The sequence below is a fragment of the Homo sapiens genome, chromosome 12 (genome assembly GCF_000001405.40).
Source record: "Homo sapiens chromosome 12, GRCh38.p14 Primary Assembly".
NCBI classification, from domain to species: domain Eukaryota; kingdom Metazoa; phylum Chordata; class Mammalia; order Primates; family Hominidae; genus Homo; species Homo sapiens.
This window is the reverse complement of record NC_000012.12, coordinates 40,999,495-41,017,450: the sequence shown is the minus strand read 5'-3', so window position 1 is coordinate 41,017,450 and position 17,956 is coordinate 40,999,495. Positions and strand designations below refer to the sequence as shown.

Genomic DNA, 17,956 nt, shown 5'->3' with positions numbered 1-17,956 from the left:
AATTTGGGGCCATTTTACAAATAATATATATAATATATACATTACAGAAATTTTTTTTTTTTTTTTTTTGAGACGGAGTCTTGCTCTGTCCTCCAGACAGATCTGCCTGCCTCCGCCTCCCAAAGTGCTGGGATTACAGGCATGCGCCACCACGCCCGGCCATATTATAGAAGTTTTAAATTATAAACTTTATGAATATACAGACATGTTGAGATTCTGTTCAAGTATGGAGAGTTTCTGACTACAAAATTATAATCAAGAGCCCAAAAATGGAAGTCAGAGCCAATTATTTTAATGGGGATTTCCTCATACCATGGGCATGATCTAAATGATGAAAAAGACTCTAGCAACATTCTCATCATTTAGATGAAGAGGGTGATGTTTAATTTGGTTCAAAATAGTACTCATTTACTAAATGCATAATGCTATAAAAAGGTCTTAATAAGTAAGGCCTGAAAGGAAACAAACTAAATGCCTGCTAGAGAAATACGTTTTTCCTCCCTCCTCAGGTAAGAAGGTCTTTCTTTCACCTACCGTCTTGTGCTGAATTAATGACTGCTACTAGGCTGTAAGGTCCATCTCCTTTGTTGTTGAAGGCCTTGACTTTAACTTGAAATGCAGTGGAAGGGCTCATGGTTTCATCTTTATGGACATATCGGCCAGTATCAGGATTAGTAACTGTGACTTTTTTCCATTCTTCTCCATCAAATGGCTTAAATGCCACTATGTAACCAAAATTGTTGCCATAGTGGTATTCTCTTGACAAAGGCTAAATAGAAATTAAAAGATTGAGTAGGTTTTAGTAATACAGGTAACAGGGAGGAAATGCTATGGGGATAATGACACACACGGAGGCGTGCTCTTTGTAAAAACATACACAGTTCATACATTAGTGCTGGTTCCAAATGTCAGAGGAAAAACATACTTAAACATGGGATGATCTTATTTACCAAATTGTAGCCTCACTACTCCTAGAACACCTCAGGGGCCTCTCACTCCGGGCCTTTTTCCTTTCAGTTTCTTCTGCCTAGAATGTTCTCCTAGATGTTATGTGACTCCTCCCACCCCCTCACTTTCCCGAGGTAAAATCACCTCGACGTTTTCTCCGACCACAGGTTCTGCCACTGCAAGACTCCAACACAATGCTCCATGTCCCGCACCCTACCTATTGTTTTTCTTTAACCCTAACAAAGTCTATACAGTTTACTTATTTATCTACTTTATTGTCTCTCTCAACTACTAGAATACACGTTTTATGAATGCAGCGTTTTTGTCAGTTTTGTTTTCCTCTTTATCCCTAGCACCTAGAACAGGGCTTCAAGTAATATGTATTAAAGGGATGAGCAAATGAATTTCATTAGAATTGAAAGGCAATGGTAAGAGAGTTATATAAGACTCTAGCCTAGAATATCTACCTTGTGATCGAAAAGAAACTGGTAAGAGGAATAAAAGTAGGTGACAAGGAGGAAGGGACAATATTGCACTCATTTGTAGGAGGATGGCTTTGGGTTTCTATCTCCAATTCTAAAGCAAGTGCTTGGTTTTTCATCATTTTCTCAAGGTTTCTTGTCACTCATGTAAATTGCCTTATAAAGAAGTCTATGTCAGCCCTAATCACCTATTATTAATAAAAACTGACTTACAGCTACTTCTAGTGAGTACTTGTCAGTTAGCCTTTTTTGGCAATTTAGGTAAATGTGCACATTGTATATTTACTTTTTTTTTTTTTTACCAGAAAATCAAATTTAAGATGTCTTGAGGCAAAACCTTGAAGTAAATATAACACTATTGCTTGGACATACTTATATTAAATAGGAAGATATAGAAATGTGGAAAGGTCAAATGGTAGAAGCTGTATGTGGTTGCACAATATATTAATAGGTATGTGATTTTAGATTATTAGATAGTATAGCCTAACATTTCTACAATAGTTTAAACATTTTTCTTATTGATAGTTCTCTACTTAGTTTTTGGAATTTAGAGTATAACAGAATCAGCTATGAAAATTTCAAAAATAACAACTCTCGGGCTCTATCTCCAGAAACCTGAATTTGAATCTTTGGAGGAGAATTTCCAATACTGAATTTTTTATAAGGCCCATCTTATTCTGTAGCAGATATCCACAGAATTTATAAAAAGCCATAAGAGAAAGAGCGAAATGTTCTAATTTTTATAATATTTGCATTTTTGGACATTTCATTGGCAGTTAAACTTAGAAATAAATATTTTACGATTCAGATTAGTTTTTTTTTGCTAAATCTTGCTTTAAAATGTGATTTAAATGCTAAGTATAGAAAATGACTACAAAGCACACAGTGAGTCAAGTTTTGCTAAACATTCATTTATTAAATAAATCCATTTGACCAATGCAAAGAATAAAACCTGTCATTTTTTCCACAGTCTTCAAAATCCTTTGGAGCCTAAATTGTGCTCTTTGACTATCTGCAGTGATTCAACACTAAGTGTATTTAATGAATAAATGAATCTGTATAAACCATGTTATCTGGATAAATGCCAGATGTCTAAGTCAGACAGTTTTGTCAGACAACTTTTCCCACCCCTCCCAATATCTTTCCTATTTCAAAAATCCAGCCAAGATGTATTGTTTTCTAGAGATTGTAGTCTCTGATACAGAACTCTTTGACTCACGAAACTGTAATAAAATGCTTTGGATACCTCAGTAACTAGTCCCATGGGTGACTTCTAAGACTGACCTATCATGCTAGATTACACCAGTGATCAAAGTAAGCTTCAAGTGAGGAGGCAGTCTCCAATTTAAAAATGGGTTTTGATACAAAGTTTGTAAATGGAATCTTTGGAATTTAGAATGTCCAGAGACAATGTTTAAAATTACAATTAGATTACCAGACTACAATGATCAAAGTATCTCTGGAATCAGACAGCTGAATGTTTAATCATCTAGGCTAACAGATCTCTTAGCATCCAGGATTCATTCTTGCATAGGAGCTACACACTAAGCCACAGTAAGCCAGATAAAATCTGATTTGCATTTAAGAAAAAAAAATAGTAATATATTCTTGCTTGTGCAGTAGGCAGTCACTTTCATCTCAATTTATTTCAGGAAACAAAATGGGGTGGAAGTTAAATATAGATACAGCAACCTATAATATGTGCAACTCATCAATACTTACCGCCCATGTTATGGTCAGCTCTCTGTTTCTTCCACCTCCACCTCCTACATCTGAAGGAGCCACATTTGGTGCTGAAACAAACAAACAAATATATGCAAAACAACAACAAAAAGAGGGCCTGCATTTTTTTCCTGGTGTTAGAATTCTTATTCACCACAGAAACCACAAATGTTTTTCTTTTACTAGGAAAAACATACTGGACAAATGATCCACTCAATTATAATAACAATGGCTCACAGTAGCTGTAATAATCAGTTTTTCTGCCAAGATAAAAATTGATTTGGTGCCATAGGAAGTGTGCCCATTTCCTGTCCTTTCAGTTAGTATGATTTTGAAAGATTACATAGACTGTTGGAAAAAGATTTTGCCACTTTTACTTTTGAAGCCTATGAACTTCTAACAACTTAATGTTGTGTTAGTTTCATGCTTCATTCTACAAATAAATGTTAAGAAACCATGCATTTGTATTGGATAATGTTTCCCCAAATATCTAGAAATATTATAAATCTAATATCGTCTCTTATGCTCTCACTTTCAATTCCCCAATTTTTTCTGAAACTGCGCCGTCAGTGACTCCAAAGTACTCTCTCCCCCGTTCTCTTATATCATCTTGTAGTATCAGTTTCCCTGCTAGAAAGACCCTTTGTAGTCTCTGATCTTAAAAATCTTTCTGTCATACTGCTTTCTTCTTAATCCCTAAGCCATCACATCCTTTTCTGCCACTGTACTGCATGGAAGAACTGATATATGGCTATTTTTTTTTTTGTACTTCACTCCATAATCACTTTTTAACAACCCACAATATATCCAATATAGGAGTTAAGAAGAAATCACTGAGGCAGAAAGTAAGGGTATGGGAGTCCTTGGTAAGGCTTTGCTTTTTAATGAAAAGCAGCCCCAAATCATTTTCTAAGAAAGAGCAGCCTGTAAAGTCGAGCTGCAGACATAAACAAGCAAGCTGGGAGCTTGAACGGGTGAATGCCGGCAGGAACTATGGACTACACATGTTCAAGATGGCGGCTCCATCTTCCCTTTTCTTTCTCAGCCACATGTACAGTAAGAAGCAGACAAGATGTCACTGATCAACTGGAAAGCCTATTTGCATAATAAGATTAGGGTACAGTGACCAACCTTCCCCACGCACTATGTAAACATCATACCTGATCAAACCAATCTGTGAGCCCTATGTAAATCAGACACCACCTCCTCAAACCTGACTATAAAATCCAGCGCATTCAACGCCAGCCAGTCTTTTCTGCTCGGGGACCCCTCTCCCTCTACAGAAAGAGAGCTGTTTCTCTTTCACTTCTCTTCTGCCTATTAAATCTCCACTCCTAAACTCCTTGTGTGTATCCATGTCCTAAGTTTTCCTGGTGTGAGATGATGAATCCCAGGGTATATACCCCAGACAACATAGCCATTTCATACTGGGGACCTCATCCATGATACCAGCGTACAACATTAATTGAAACAATGAGTAGAGGAGCAGACTCCAACTCTGTCCTTTCATTCAGAGGCTATTGGCCTCCATTTAAGAACCAAATCAAACCAAATACTGGACCCCCTTCAGCCATAAAATAATTAGCGTGGCTGCCAGCCATATAAGACTTGGGGGACAGGCTTACTGGGGAGAACATGGAGAACCCATGGGTTGCTTGGCATATTGGCCATGTTTGAACCAGCTTCCTTTCATGGAGTACTCAGCCGTCATGTGGGGCTGGAAGGAGTCCTGGAGCAACTGAGGATTTCTGGCTGGGGCTATCCCTGGTGTTATCCAAAGGCTACTGGACTGACCCCAGCCTCTGTCCCCACTGATGGGCTATCGGCCACAAGATCTCCAACTTTCCTATCATAATTTCTTTCTTTCCTGTTGGCAACTGTCATAACTCTTATCCTCTCTGTGTATGCAATGTGTGGGAAGATTTATGGTTCAGGGAAGGAATCCTGTTTGGCAAGATCAGATAATGTCATAGTAAATGGGCATATAGCTCAAGGGAAGGTGTTTTTGTGATGTTCTAGAAACAGAGGGTACCCCCAGTGAGCATCTCTCCCTGCCCTTGTTCTAGAGAGCACATGGCATTTCCAGGTCTCTCTCTCTCTGCCCTTGATCTGGAGAGCACATGGCATGTCAAGGTCACTCTGCCCTTGGTCTGGAGAGCACATGGCATCTCAAAGTCAGCAGCACCACCTAGTGGAATAGGAATCCTCTCCTTTACCCAAGCACTCTAGCTTCCCAATTCTCTCCCCTTTTTACGCCTCTCTACTAGAAACCAGGCTTTATGCTGTTTCTGTGAATGGGAAAACTCTGCCTTCAGCAATTAGGAGTAAAATGTCCTCCAAAACCAAATTTTAGTCTTAATACTGTCCTTCCTTCAGGAAAATGGCCATTTGGTCCCTACATTCTTTTAAGATACCTATTCTGCCTCCAATTAGAATGGTACTTAATTAGTAAGGGGATTTTAAGTCAGAAGTTAACTGGAATGATTCTCTAAGGGTAAACACTTTAGCATGGGCCATAATAGCAGGATATAGAGCTCAAACCAGCACGCTTCCTCCATTAAGGAGGCGAGTGCAACAATTGCCCAAATGCAACTGTTACATAGTCTTTCCCAAGATCCATTTTTCAGAGAGCCCCAAAGTCTAGGCAGAGGACTAGAGTTGCATGGGTGAGGGTGACTAAAACCCACCACTTAGTTCCTCTGGTTCCATGGCTGGGGAAGCCACACCTGCAACCATGGGCAGCACATTTAACAAGGTGCCAGGATGCCAGGAACCATGGAGAGAAAACAACAGGGGGACACCCCCACTGTCTTTCTCCCACCCTGGGTCACATCAAAAGGAAGGAGACTAAAGGGATGCCTTTTTTTCCTTCTCTTTATCATCTAAGGCCTGTACTCCTCTGGAGTGCATTCTGAAGCACAGGGACTCCTTTGATCCTGAGACTTTGAAGAAAAAATGGCTCATTTTCTTTTGCACAAGGGCATGGCCTTCTTACTAGACCTTTGCAAGTGTAGCAATCATATCAGGCAGGCCCAAAGGGAATGATTCCCTAAGACTAGAAAAGCAACTTCCAGAGGAGCCATCTGAGAATCCCCGTTATTTGGGGTCACCTCAAGTTCCCATCTCATTACAGAATCTTAGGCAAATAAAGGAAGATTTAGGCCAATTTTCTGATGATCCTGATAGGTATATAGAACCCTTCCAAAATTTAACTCAAGTGTTTCACCACACACGGAGAGATGTTTTGCTGCTCTTAAGCCAAATCCTAACCACAGTGGAAAAGCAGGCAGTTCTGCAGGCAGCAGAAAATTCTGGCGATGAACAACATGTCTCCTGTGGTAGATTAAAAAGGAAAAAGGAGATAAGGAAGGCAAAGAAATAATGGAAACACCATTCCCGATAGGAAGGGAAGCAGTTCCTCTAAAAAAAAAAACAAACCCTAGTTGGAACACCGGTGATGCCACAGATGGATGGAAAAGGAAACACCATTTAATGCACATATTGGAGGGCCTATGAAGAGCAAGGGCAAAATCTATTAATTACTCTATACTTTCCAAGATAGAACAAAACCAGATGAGAATCCTGCAGCCTTTATGGAAAGACTGATAGGCACTCATAAAACATACCTTTATCCCCTGAATCAGTCGAGGACAGCTCATCCTAAGGGACAAGTTTATTAAAAAGGCACCTCCCAATATTAGAAGGAAAATACAGAAGGAGGCTATAGCACCAGATAGCATCTTGGAGAACCTCCTAAGGGTGACCACTTTGGTGTTTTATAATAGGGACCAGGAGGAGGAGATCCAGGAGAAAGAGAGGAAGCAAAAGAGAAGGACAGAGGCACTAATAGCTGCTCTGCAAACATACAAAGCCCAGGATCCCTGAGGTACATCTGCTAGTTTCTATAGGTGCAGCAAGTCAGGGCACTTTAAGAAAGAGTGCCCAGGCAGCAAGAAAAAACCACCTTAACCTTGTCTAGCCTGTGGAAGGAACCATTGGAAGTCGGACTGCCCCCAGAGATGAAGGTCACCGGGTTCCAAACCAGTCTCACAGATTGTCCAACAGGATTGATGGGTCCCGGAGCTCCAGTGGCTCAAACCAACATACAGCACAGGAGCCCTGGGTGATTCTGGAAATTGAAGGAAGGTAGATCTCCTTGTGAACACTAGAGCCAGTCTCTCTCTCTCTTCTCCTCTCTAATCCAGGCCTCCCCTCTTTCTGTAGCATGACCAGGCATCACAGGGCATCTCAGGAAAAAGTCTAATTCAATATTTTTCACAACCCCTTAGGTTGCAGATGGGGAAACCTATTATTGACACATGCTTTTTTAATCATGCCAAAAAGTTCCACTCCTTTATTAGGTAGAGATATTTTACTTGCAGGCAGACCAGCATCCTTATAGCCCCAGGACAAACTCTGTCACCCCCTGGTAGAAGCTAATATCAATCCAGAAGTGTGGGCAACTGAAGGAACAATGAGTTGAGCTGTAACTGCTAGGCCAGTCCAGATCCATCTTAAGGATCCCACTTCTTTTCCTAACCAGAAACAATATCCACTGAAGCCAGAGGCTAGGAAAGGGCTAGAAGCCATTACTAATAACCTGATGATGCAGGGCCTCTTCAAAACCTGAAGCAGCCCATTCAACACCCCAATGTTAGGAGCACATAAAACTCAATGGGGAATGAAGACTACTTCAGGACTTCCATCTCACTGAGGCCATAGTCACAGCCTTTCCATAGGAAGGGCCTTCAATCTGTATGTATCAGAAAGGAAGGAAATGACCTTGGGAGTTTTAACACAGGTCTGTGGACCAGCTCAACAGCCAGTGGGTTACCTGAGTAAGGAACTTAATTTGATGGTTAAAGGATTGCCAGCATGCCCCTGATCCATTGCTGCAGTGGCTCTACTGGTCCCAGAAGCCTCCAAATTAATCCTGGGAAATGACATGACTATTTATACCCCATATAATGTGGTGGGATTACTGTCCTCTAAGGAAAGCCTTTGGTTAACAGACAGCAGGCTCCTTAAATATCAAGCCCTACTATCAGAGGGTTCCACCATCCAGTTAAAAACTTGTTTTTGCTTAAGCCCAGTCACCTTTCTCCCCAAGGGAACTGGAGGACCTGAATATGACTGTGAACAAGTTGTGGTACAGACCTATGCGGCCAGGGAAGATCTCAGGGAAACTCCCCTAGAAAATCCAGATTGGGCCCTCTTCATGGACAGAGGCTCCTTTACAGAGCAAGGAGTACAGAAGGCAGGATATGCAGTAGTCACTCTGAATGTTATTGAAAGTGTGTCTCTCACTCCAGGCATAAGTGCTCAACCAGCTGAACTGATAGCTCTTACAAGAGCACTTGAGTTAAGCAAGGTAAAGGTAGCTAACATTTACACTGACTCCAAGTATGCTTTTTTAGTTCTCCATGCTCATGCTACCGTTTGGTGCAAAGAAGGTTATAAAGGAAAGAGATTTTATATAAGAAGGGATCTTGTATGAGAAATACTTGTCCTAAAGAAAATAGCTAGTTGTTTAAAAGAGAGATGTTTAGGACAAGTCAGAAGGTTTAAGCATGTCATAGATGGTTCATGGAAGTCATGAAAGGATTAGAAGGATGGTAAATACATGTCCTAAAAAGAATAGTTGGTTGTTTAAAAAGAAGGATGTTTAGGACAAGCCAGAAAGTTTAAGCATGTCATAGATAGTTGGTGGAAGCTGTGAAGGAATTAATTGCAGGAAAGATTTAGCTAGGGTTAACACTAAAATTACACTAGCCACCCAATGACATATTTCTCCCAATCATATTGCAAGTTAAAAAAGATGACCTAGACCAGAAATTATCCCCTAATGGCAAAGCAACGGGGGTATATATGTTTTTCTCAAAGAAAAAAAAATGTTGCTTTTATATCAACACTTCTGATAAAGTACAGCAACATTTGGTAGAAGCAAACCAGTATTTCATTTCATCAAAATGACTGACAGGTAACAAACCCTACTGTTATGATTGTGGCCTATGGTACCTCCACTAATAGTGGCAATCTTAATAGTCATATTCGAACTAACATTCATCTCTTCTCATTTAGAAACAATCAAACTCCAAATGGTGCTGCAGACAGAACCATACATGGACATGCCTTTCTTCCAAGGACCCTTAGATTGACCCCAGGAGGAGCCATAGCTGCTGTTCCCCACACAATGCCCCTTTATAGGAGGAAGTTGCCAGAAAGAGTCATCATTCAAATGACCACTAACAGCAATTAGGGTTACCACTCCAGAGGGGGGAACGATATAGAAGTTAAGAAATCACTTAGGCAGAAAGTAACTGAATGAGAGTCCTTGGTAAGGCTTTGCTTTTTATTGAAAGGCAGCCACAAATCATTTTCTAACAAAGAGCAGCCTGTAAAGTTGAGCTGCAGACATAAACAAGCAAGCTGGGAGCTTGCATGGGTGAATGCTGGCAGGAAGTAAGGACTATACATGTTCAAGATGGTCCATCTTCTCTTCCCTTTGTCGGCCAAGTGTACAGTGAGAAGCAGAGAAGATGGCACCAGTCAACTGGAAAGCCCATTTGCATGCTAACATTAGAGTGGGACAACCACCTTCCGCATGCATTGTGTGAACGTCATACCTGATCAAACCAATCTGTGAGCCCTATGTAAATCAGGCACCGCCTCCTCAAACCTGACTATAAAATTTGGCACATTCACTGACAGCCAGTCTTTTCCACTGAGGGACCCCTCTCTCTATAGAGAGAGAACTGTTTCTCTTTCACTTCTCTTCTGCCTATTAAACCTCTGCTGCTAAACTCCTCGTGTGAGTCCATGTCCTAAGTTTTCCTGGTGCAAGATGACAAACCCCAGGGTATATACCCCAGGTGATATAGCTGCTTCATATCCATTTCTTTAAATAACTGAAATTTCTCTTTAAAAACACACAAAACTGGCCGGGCGCGGTGGCTCACGCCTGTAATCCCAGCACTTTGGGAGGCCGAGGCGGGCGGATCACAAGGTCAGGAGATCAAGACCATCCCGGCTAAAACGGTGAAACCCCGTCTCTACTAAAAATACAAAAAAATTAGCCGGGCGTAGTGGCGGGCGCCTGTAGTCCCAGCTACTTGGGAGGCTGAGGCAGGAGAATGGCGTGAACCCGGGAGGCGGAGCTTGCAGTGAGCCGAGATCCCGCCACTGCACTCCAGCCTGGGCGACAGAGCGAGACTCCGTCTCAAAAAAAAAAAAAAAAAAAAAAAAAAAAAAAACCACACAAAACTGCTTTTAACTGCCAAGTCCAATGGCCTCTTCATTGATTCTCTCCAAGTTTTTCTCTCTCCTTCAAACTCCTTCAGGTAAGCACTGTACCTTATTGGATTTGTATGCTTAGCACCTAACTGGCCTTGTACAGATGAACAAAGTATTCATTGTTTGTTCCTGCAATCTGGGCACCACCCAGCTACCCAGCCATCTGGATGAAGTCCATGTTTCTATAGAGGACATACCTTTTCCCATGCAAATGCTTTGACTCAGTCTGACATACCATCCTCAAATCTGTTAACATTTCAAAGAGATGAAATATTAGTCCCCAAATGCCCTCCCATTTTGGAATAGCCACATCTTCCTTAGAGTGCTGAAAGCAAGGTATCCTTTTACTGAATTGTAGCTCCTAATAATTGTGATTCAAAGATACCTACATGAAAACTTCTGATATTAGCTATGTAAATTCTTTGGTGAAGTATGTACATTAATTGCACAGAAACAAATAAAACTATATGCAGAACTATATGGTGGATCACACCTGCTTAGGGGACACAGAGAAGACATCCAGACTTTTCCCACCAGTACCCAGCCCCTGAGCTAATACCACCTCCAGCATGCCCACACACAGTCTCCAGCAGGGGTCCTCTGCTCCTGCCTGCCAGCTGTGTTGCCTCTGCCACTGTGGTGAACACCTGCAGGGAGGCAGATACCCCAGCACTTGTTAGCACTCTGCTACAGCTGCTACACCTTAGCCCTCCCTTCCAGTGCAGTGGATTCCAAACCTTGAGGAGCCAGAGGACAAAGTCAGGGCCTAATATGAGTCCCCCAGAGTTATAGCATGCAGTCCAGGAATTGGGAGGTGAATGTTGGCCCCATAAAATCTTGCAGAAGCTAGTCTACTGAATCTACCTTATACCACAATCAAACCCTCAAGGTCATCAAATAGGATAAAAGAGAAAAAAAATCAAAGGTTGTCAATTTCAAAGCTTAAAGGTAGATAAGCCCACAAAGATGAAAAAGAATCCTCTGAGAAGGCTTAAAATTGAAAAAGCCAGAGTGCCTTGTTTCCTCCAAATGATGGAATCACCTCTCCAGCAAAGGTTCTGAACTGGGCTCAGATGGCTGGATTCACAGAAATAGAATTCAGATTATCCACAGGAATGAAGATTACTGAGCTAGAGCAGTATACTGTAACCCAAGGTAAGGAAGCTAAAAATAATTATAAAACAATGAAGGAACTGACAGAAAAAATAGACAGTTTAGAAAAGAATGTAACCAACCTGATAGAGCTAAAAGACACACTACAAGAATTTCATAATGCAATCACAAGTATCAACAGCAGAATAGACCAAGCAGAGGAAATAATCTCAGAGCTTGAAGACTGGCTTTCTGAAATAAGACAGTCAGACAGGAATAGAGAAAAAAGAATAAAAAGAAATGAAAAAAATTCAAAAAATATGTGACTGAATCTGCAACTCATTGGTGTCCCTGGAAAAGAAGATGGGAAGAATGGAACTAACTTGGAAACCATATTTCAGGATATCATCCAGGAGAACTTCCCCAACCTAACTAGTGAGGCCAATATTCAAACTCAGAAAATGCAGAGAACCACAGTAAGGTACTTCACAAGAAGATCATCCCCAAGACACATAATCATCATATTTTTAAAGATTGAAATGAAAGAAAAAATGCTAAAGACAGCTAGAGAGAAAGGTCAGATCAACTACAAAGGAAGCCAATCAGACTAAAAATGGACCTTTCAGCAGAAGCCCTACAAGCCAGAAGAGATTTGGGGCCAATATTCAACATTCTTACAGAAAAGAAATTCCAAACCAGAATTCTATATCTAGCCAAACTAAGCTTCATAAGCCAAGGAGAAATAAGATCCTTTTCAGATAAGCAAACACTGAAGGAATTTATTACCACCAGACCTGCCTTACCAGAGCTCCTGAAGGAATCACTAGATATGGAAAGGAAAGACCAGCACCAGACACCACAAAAACACACTGAATTACACAGACCAGTGACACTATAAAGCAACCACATAAACAAGTCTGCAAAATAACCAGCTAACGTCATAATGACAGTGTAAAATCCACACATATCAACAGTTACCTTAAATGTAAATGACTAAATGCCCCAATTAAAACACACAAAGTGGCAAGCTGGATAAAGAACCAAGACCCATTGGTATGTTGTCTTCAAGAGATCCATCTCACATGCAATGACACTCATAGCCTCAAAATAAAGTGATGAAGAAAAATCCACCAAGCAAATGGAAAACAGTAAAAAGTAGGGTTTGCAATCCTAGTTTCTGACAAAACAGACTTTTAACCAATAAAGATAAAAAAAGTCAAGGGAATTACATAATGGTAAAGGGTTCAATTCAACAAGAAAATCTAACTATAATAAATATGTATACACCTAAGACAGGAGCACCCAGATTCATAAAGCAAATTCTTAGAGAGCTTTAAAGAGACTCAGACTCCCACATAATAATGAGTCTTTAACACCTCACTGACAATATTAGACAGATCATCAAGATGGAAAATTAACAAAGATAATCAGGACCTGAACTCAGCATTGGATCAAATGGACCTGATAGATACCTACAGAACTCTCCACCCCAAAATAACAGAATATATATTCTTCTCATTGCCACATGGCACATGCTCAAGAATTGAGCACATAATTGGAAATAAAACACTCCTCAGAAAATGCAAAAGAAATGAAATAATAAGAAACAATCTCTTGGACCACAGCAAAATCAAATTAGAAATCAAGAATGAAATTCACTCAACACCATACAATCACATGAAAATTGAATAACTGCTCCTGAATGATATTTGGGTAAATAATAAAATTAAAGCAGAAATCGAGAAGATATTTAAAATTAATGAAAACAAAGATACAACATACCAGAATCTCTGGGACACAGCTAATGCAGTGTTAAGAGGAAAATTCATAGCACTAAATGCCCAATCAAAAAGTTAGAAAGATCTCAAGTTAAAAACCTAAAATCACAACTAAAAAAACTAGAGAACAAAGAGCAAACAAATCCTAAAGCTAGCAGAAGACAAGAAGTAACCAAAGTCACAGCTCAACTGAAGAAGTTTGAGACACAAAATTTCATTCAAAAGATTAACAAATCTAGGAGCTGGTGCTTTGGAAAAAAATAAAATAGACTGCTAACTAGACTAATGAAGAAAAGAGAGAGGATTCAAATAAACACAATCAGAAATGACAAGGAGGGATATTACCACTTACCCCACGGAAATATAAGAAACCACCAGAGGATATTATGAACACCTCTATACACATAAACTAGAAAATCTTGAAGAAGTGGATAAATTCCTGGATACATACCCTCTCCCAAGACTAAACAAGGAAGAAATTGAATCCCTGAACAGACCAATAATGAGCTCTAAAATTGAGTTAGTAATAAATAGCCAACTAACCAAAAAAAAAAAAGCCCAGGACCAGATAGATTCACAGCTGAATTCTACCAAATGTACAAAGAAGAGCTGGTACCATTCCTGCTGAAACTATTCCGAAAAATTGAGGAGGAGGGACTCCACCTTAACTCATTCTATGAGACTAGCATCATCCTGATACCAAAACCAGGCAGAAATACAACAAAAAAGAAACCTTCAGGCCAATATCCTTGATGAACATCAACGAAAAAATCCTCAAAAAAAAATAACTGGCAAACCAAATCCAGCAGCACATCAAAAAGCTCATCCATGGCAATCAAGTAGACTTTATCTCTGGGAAGCAAGGCTTGTTTAACATATGCAAATCAGTAAATGTGATTCATCACATAAACAGAATTAAAGACAAAAACCACATGATTAAATCAATAGATACAGAAAAGGCTTTTGATAAAATTCAACACCCCGTCATGTAAAAACTGTCAATATACTAGGTATTGAAGGAACATACCTCAAAATAATAGCAGCTATCTGTGACAAACCCGGAGCCAACATCATACTGAATGGGCAAAAGCTGGAATCATTCACCTTGAAAACTGGCACAAGACCAGGATACCATCTCTCACTTCTCCTGGTCAACACAGTATTGGAAGTCCTAGCCAGGGCAATCAGGCAAGAGAAATAAAGGACATACACATAGGAAGAGAGGATGTCAAGCCATATCAGTTTGCAGATGACATGATCCTATATGTAGAAAACCCATAGCCAGGTGCAGCAGCTCATGCCTGTAATCCCAGCACTTTGGGAGGCCGAGGCAGGCGGATCACGAGGTCAGGAGATCGAGACCACACTGGCTAACATGGTGAAACCCCATCTCTACTAAAAATACAAAGAATTAGCCGAGCGTGGTGGTAGGCACCTGTGGTCCCAGCTACTCAGGAGGCCGAGGCAGGAGAATGGCGTTAAACCGGGAGGCAGAGGTTGCAGTGAGCGGAGATTGCACCACTGCACTCCAGCCTGGGCAACAGAGCAAGACTCCATCTCAAAAAAAAAAAAAAAAAGAAAGAAACCCTATAGTCTCAGCCCAAAAGCTTCTTAAGCTGATAAACAACTTCAGCAAAGTCTCAAGATACAAAATCAATGTGGGAAAATCTCTAGCATTCCTATACACCAACAACAGTCATGCCAAGAACCAAATGAGGAATGCAATCCAATTTATAATTTCCACAAAAAGAATAAAATACCTAGGAATGCAGACAACTAGGGAGATGAATATCTCTACAAGGAGAACTACAAACCACTGCTCAAACAAATCAGAGATGATACAAACAAATGGAAAAACATTCCATGCTCGTGGATAGAAAGCATCAATACTATAAAAATGGCCATACTGCCCAAAGCAATTTATAGATTCAATGCTATTCCTATTAAATTACCATTGAGATTCTTCACAGAACTAGAAAAGACTCTTTTAAAATTCACATGGAACCAAAAAAATAAAATAAAATAAAAGCCCAAATAGCCAAAGCAAACCCTAAGTAAAAAGGACAAAGCTGGAGGCATCACACTGCCCAACTTTATTCTACAGGGCTACGGTAATCAAAAAAAACATGGTACTGGTACATAAAAACAGACACATAGACCAATGAAACAGAATAGAGAACCCAGAAATAAGGTCACACACTTACAGCTATCTGATTTTTGAAAAAGCTGACAAAAACAAGAAATGGGGATAGGACACCGTATTCAATAAATGGTGTTGGGATAACTGGCAAGCCATATGCAGAAGATTGAAATTGGACCCCTTCCTTACACCATATATGAAAATGAACTCAAGATGAATTGAAGACATAAATGTAAAATCTCAAACTATAAAAACCCTGGAGGACAACTTAGGCAATACCAGTCAGGACATAGGAATGGGCAAAGATTTCAGAAGATAGGAATGGGCAAAGATTTCATGATGAAGATGCCAAAAGCAATTGTAACAATAGCAAAAATTGGCAAATTAGATCTAATTAAACTAAAGAGCTTCTGCACAGCAAAGGAAACTACAACAGAGTGAACAGACAACCTAGAGAATGGGAAAAAAATTTTGCAAACTAATCATCTGACAAAAGTCTAATTAATATCCAGCAGCTATAAAGAATTTAAATTTACAAGAAAAAACAACCCCATTAAAAAGTGGGCAAAGGTCATGAATAGACACTTTTCAAAAGAAGACACACATATGGCCAACAATCATATGAAAAAAGCTCCACATAATGATCATTAGAGAAAGGCAAATCAAAACCATAATGAGATACTATCTCACATTAGTCAGAATGGATATTATTAAAAAGTCAAAAAATAACAGATGCTGGCAAAGTTGTGGAGAAAAAGGGAACACTTATACACTATTGTGGAAGACAGTGTGTCAGTTCCTGAAAGACCTGAAAACATAAATACTATTCGACCTAGCAATCCAATTACTGAGTATATACCCAAAAGAATACAAATTGCTCTATTCTAAAGACCCATGCATGAGTATTCATTGCAGCACTATTCACAATAGCAATGACATGGAATCAGCCTAAATGCCCATCAGTGATAGACTGCATAAAGAAAATGTGGTACATATACACCATGGAATACTATGCAGCCATAAAAAAGAACAAGACCATGTACTTTGCAGGGACATGGATGGAGCAGGAAGTCATTATCCTTAGCAAATTAGTGCAAGAACAGAAAACCAAATACTGCATGCTCTCACTTATAAGTGGAGGCTAAATGATGAGAACACCTGGACACATAAAAGGGAACAACACATACTGGGGCATATTGAAGAGTAGAGGGTGGAAGTTGGGAGAGAATCAGGAAAAACAACTAATGGGTACTATGCTTAATACCTAGTTAACAAAATAATCTGTACAACTAACCCCCATGACAGAAGTTTACATTATATAATAAACCTGCACATGTACCTCTTAACTTAAAATTAAAAAAAATAAAACTATATGATTATTTTGTTTCCCCATAGAGAAATTATTAATAATATGAAGTTTGAGAGATTTTATTTTACTATTCAACTGTGATTACATGACTGTTAGAAAATGAAACTGACTACACAGGGTTAAAAAATAATTTGTAGCACTTTAGATATAATATATATTAAGAGCTGGAGTATTAAAATAACTTCTAGGAACTCTTTTACCCCTATAACTCATATTCTGAAGTTAAAACTTTTCATGCTATAGGAAAACAAAAAGTAAGTTGTCCTATAATCAAACAATAAGGGTGTTTAAGTACAAGTATAGTAGTCACAGGCAAATAATTTCAAAAATAACTCTAAAATATTATACTGCAATTTGTTGAATCAAATATTGCCTTCCTTAGGACAAGTATTATTTGTTAAAGCATTTTACTGAAATGTTTTTCATTATAAGCAATATTAGCCTTTTTATTTGGAACAGACCTAAAAATGGAGTATGTTTAAATTAGATTGAATATCTCTTTCCATTTTATCATGTTTCTTTTAAGCACTTTGTAATATATTTTCAAGACTGATTTGCTCTTCAGAGATCATTCACTGAGCTCAGTCCATGGAAAATGGGACATAAACAAAAGCACAGAATAGGCCGGACATGGTAGCTCACATCTGTAATCTAGCACTTTGGGAGGCTGAGGCGGGCGGATCACGAGGTCAGGAGATCAAGACCACCCTGGCTAACACAGTGAAACCCCATCTCTACTAAAAATACAAAAACAAAACTAGCTGGGCGTGGTGGTGAGCGCCTGTAGTCCCAGCTACTTGGAAGGCTGAGGCAGGAGAATGGCGTGAACCTGGGAGGCAGAGCTTGCTGTGAGCCGAGATCCTGCCACTGCACTCCAGCCTGGGCGACAGAGCAAGATGCTGTCTCAAAAAAAAAAAAAAAAAAAAAAAGCACAGAAGAACAGTAACTGCTTCTCTTAATAAAGTGTTTTTATATCTTACTTGGATTATTGATTTAATTTCTCTCATTTAGCTTTGAATGTTCAATTGTAGCCTTAGCATATTAGAAAAAGTTTTTCACAGGTGGAATTGACACAAAACCTACATATTTAACATGAATCTGAGAATAGAGGAGTTAGGTGCTCTATTTGCAC

At 39.5% G+C, this 17,956-nt stretch overlaps 1 protein-coding gene across 6 annotated transcripts in view; it reads right to left on the bottom strand.

Annotated features, from left to right (window-relative positions):
• Positions 1-17,956, bottom strand: part of CNTN1 (contactin 1) — a 379,977-nt gene that overhangs the window by 54,965 nt on the left and 307,056 nt on the right. For all 6 annotated transcript variants that reach the window (XM_011537926.4, NM_001843.4, XM_005268651.3 and 3 more), the window contains 2 exons: positions 3,153-3,223; positions 535-769 (listed from right to left, as the gene is read on the bottom strand). In XM_011537926.4, coding sequence (XP_011536228.1) covers positions 535-769; positions 3,153-3,223 — 306 coding nt within the window. The remainder of the gene's footprint in view (positions 1-534; positions 770-3,152; positions 3,224-17,956) is intronic.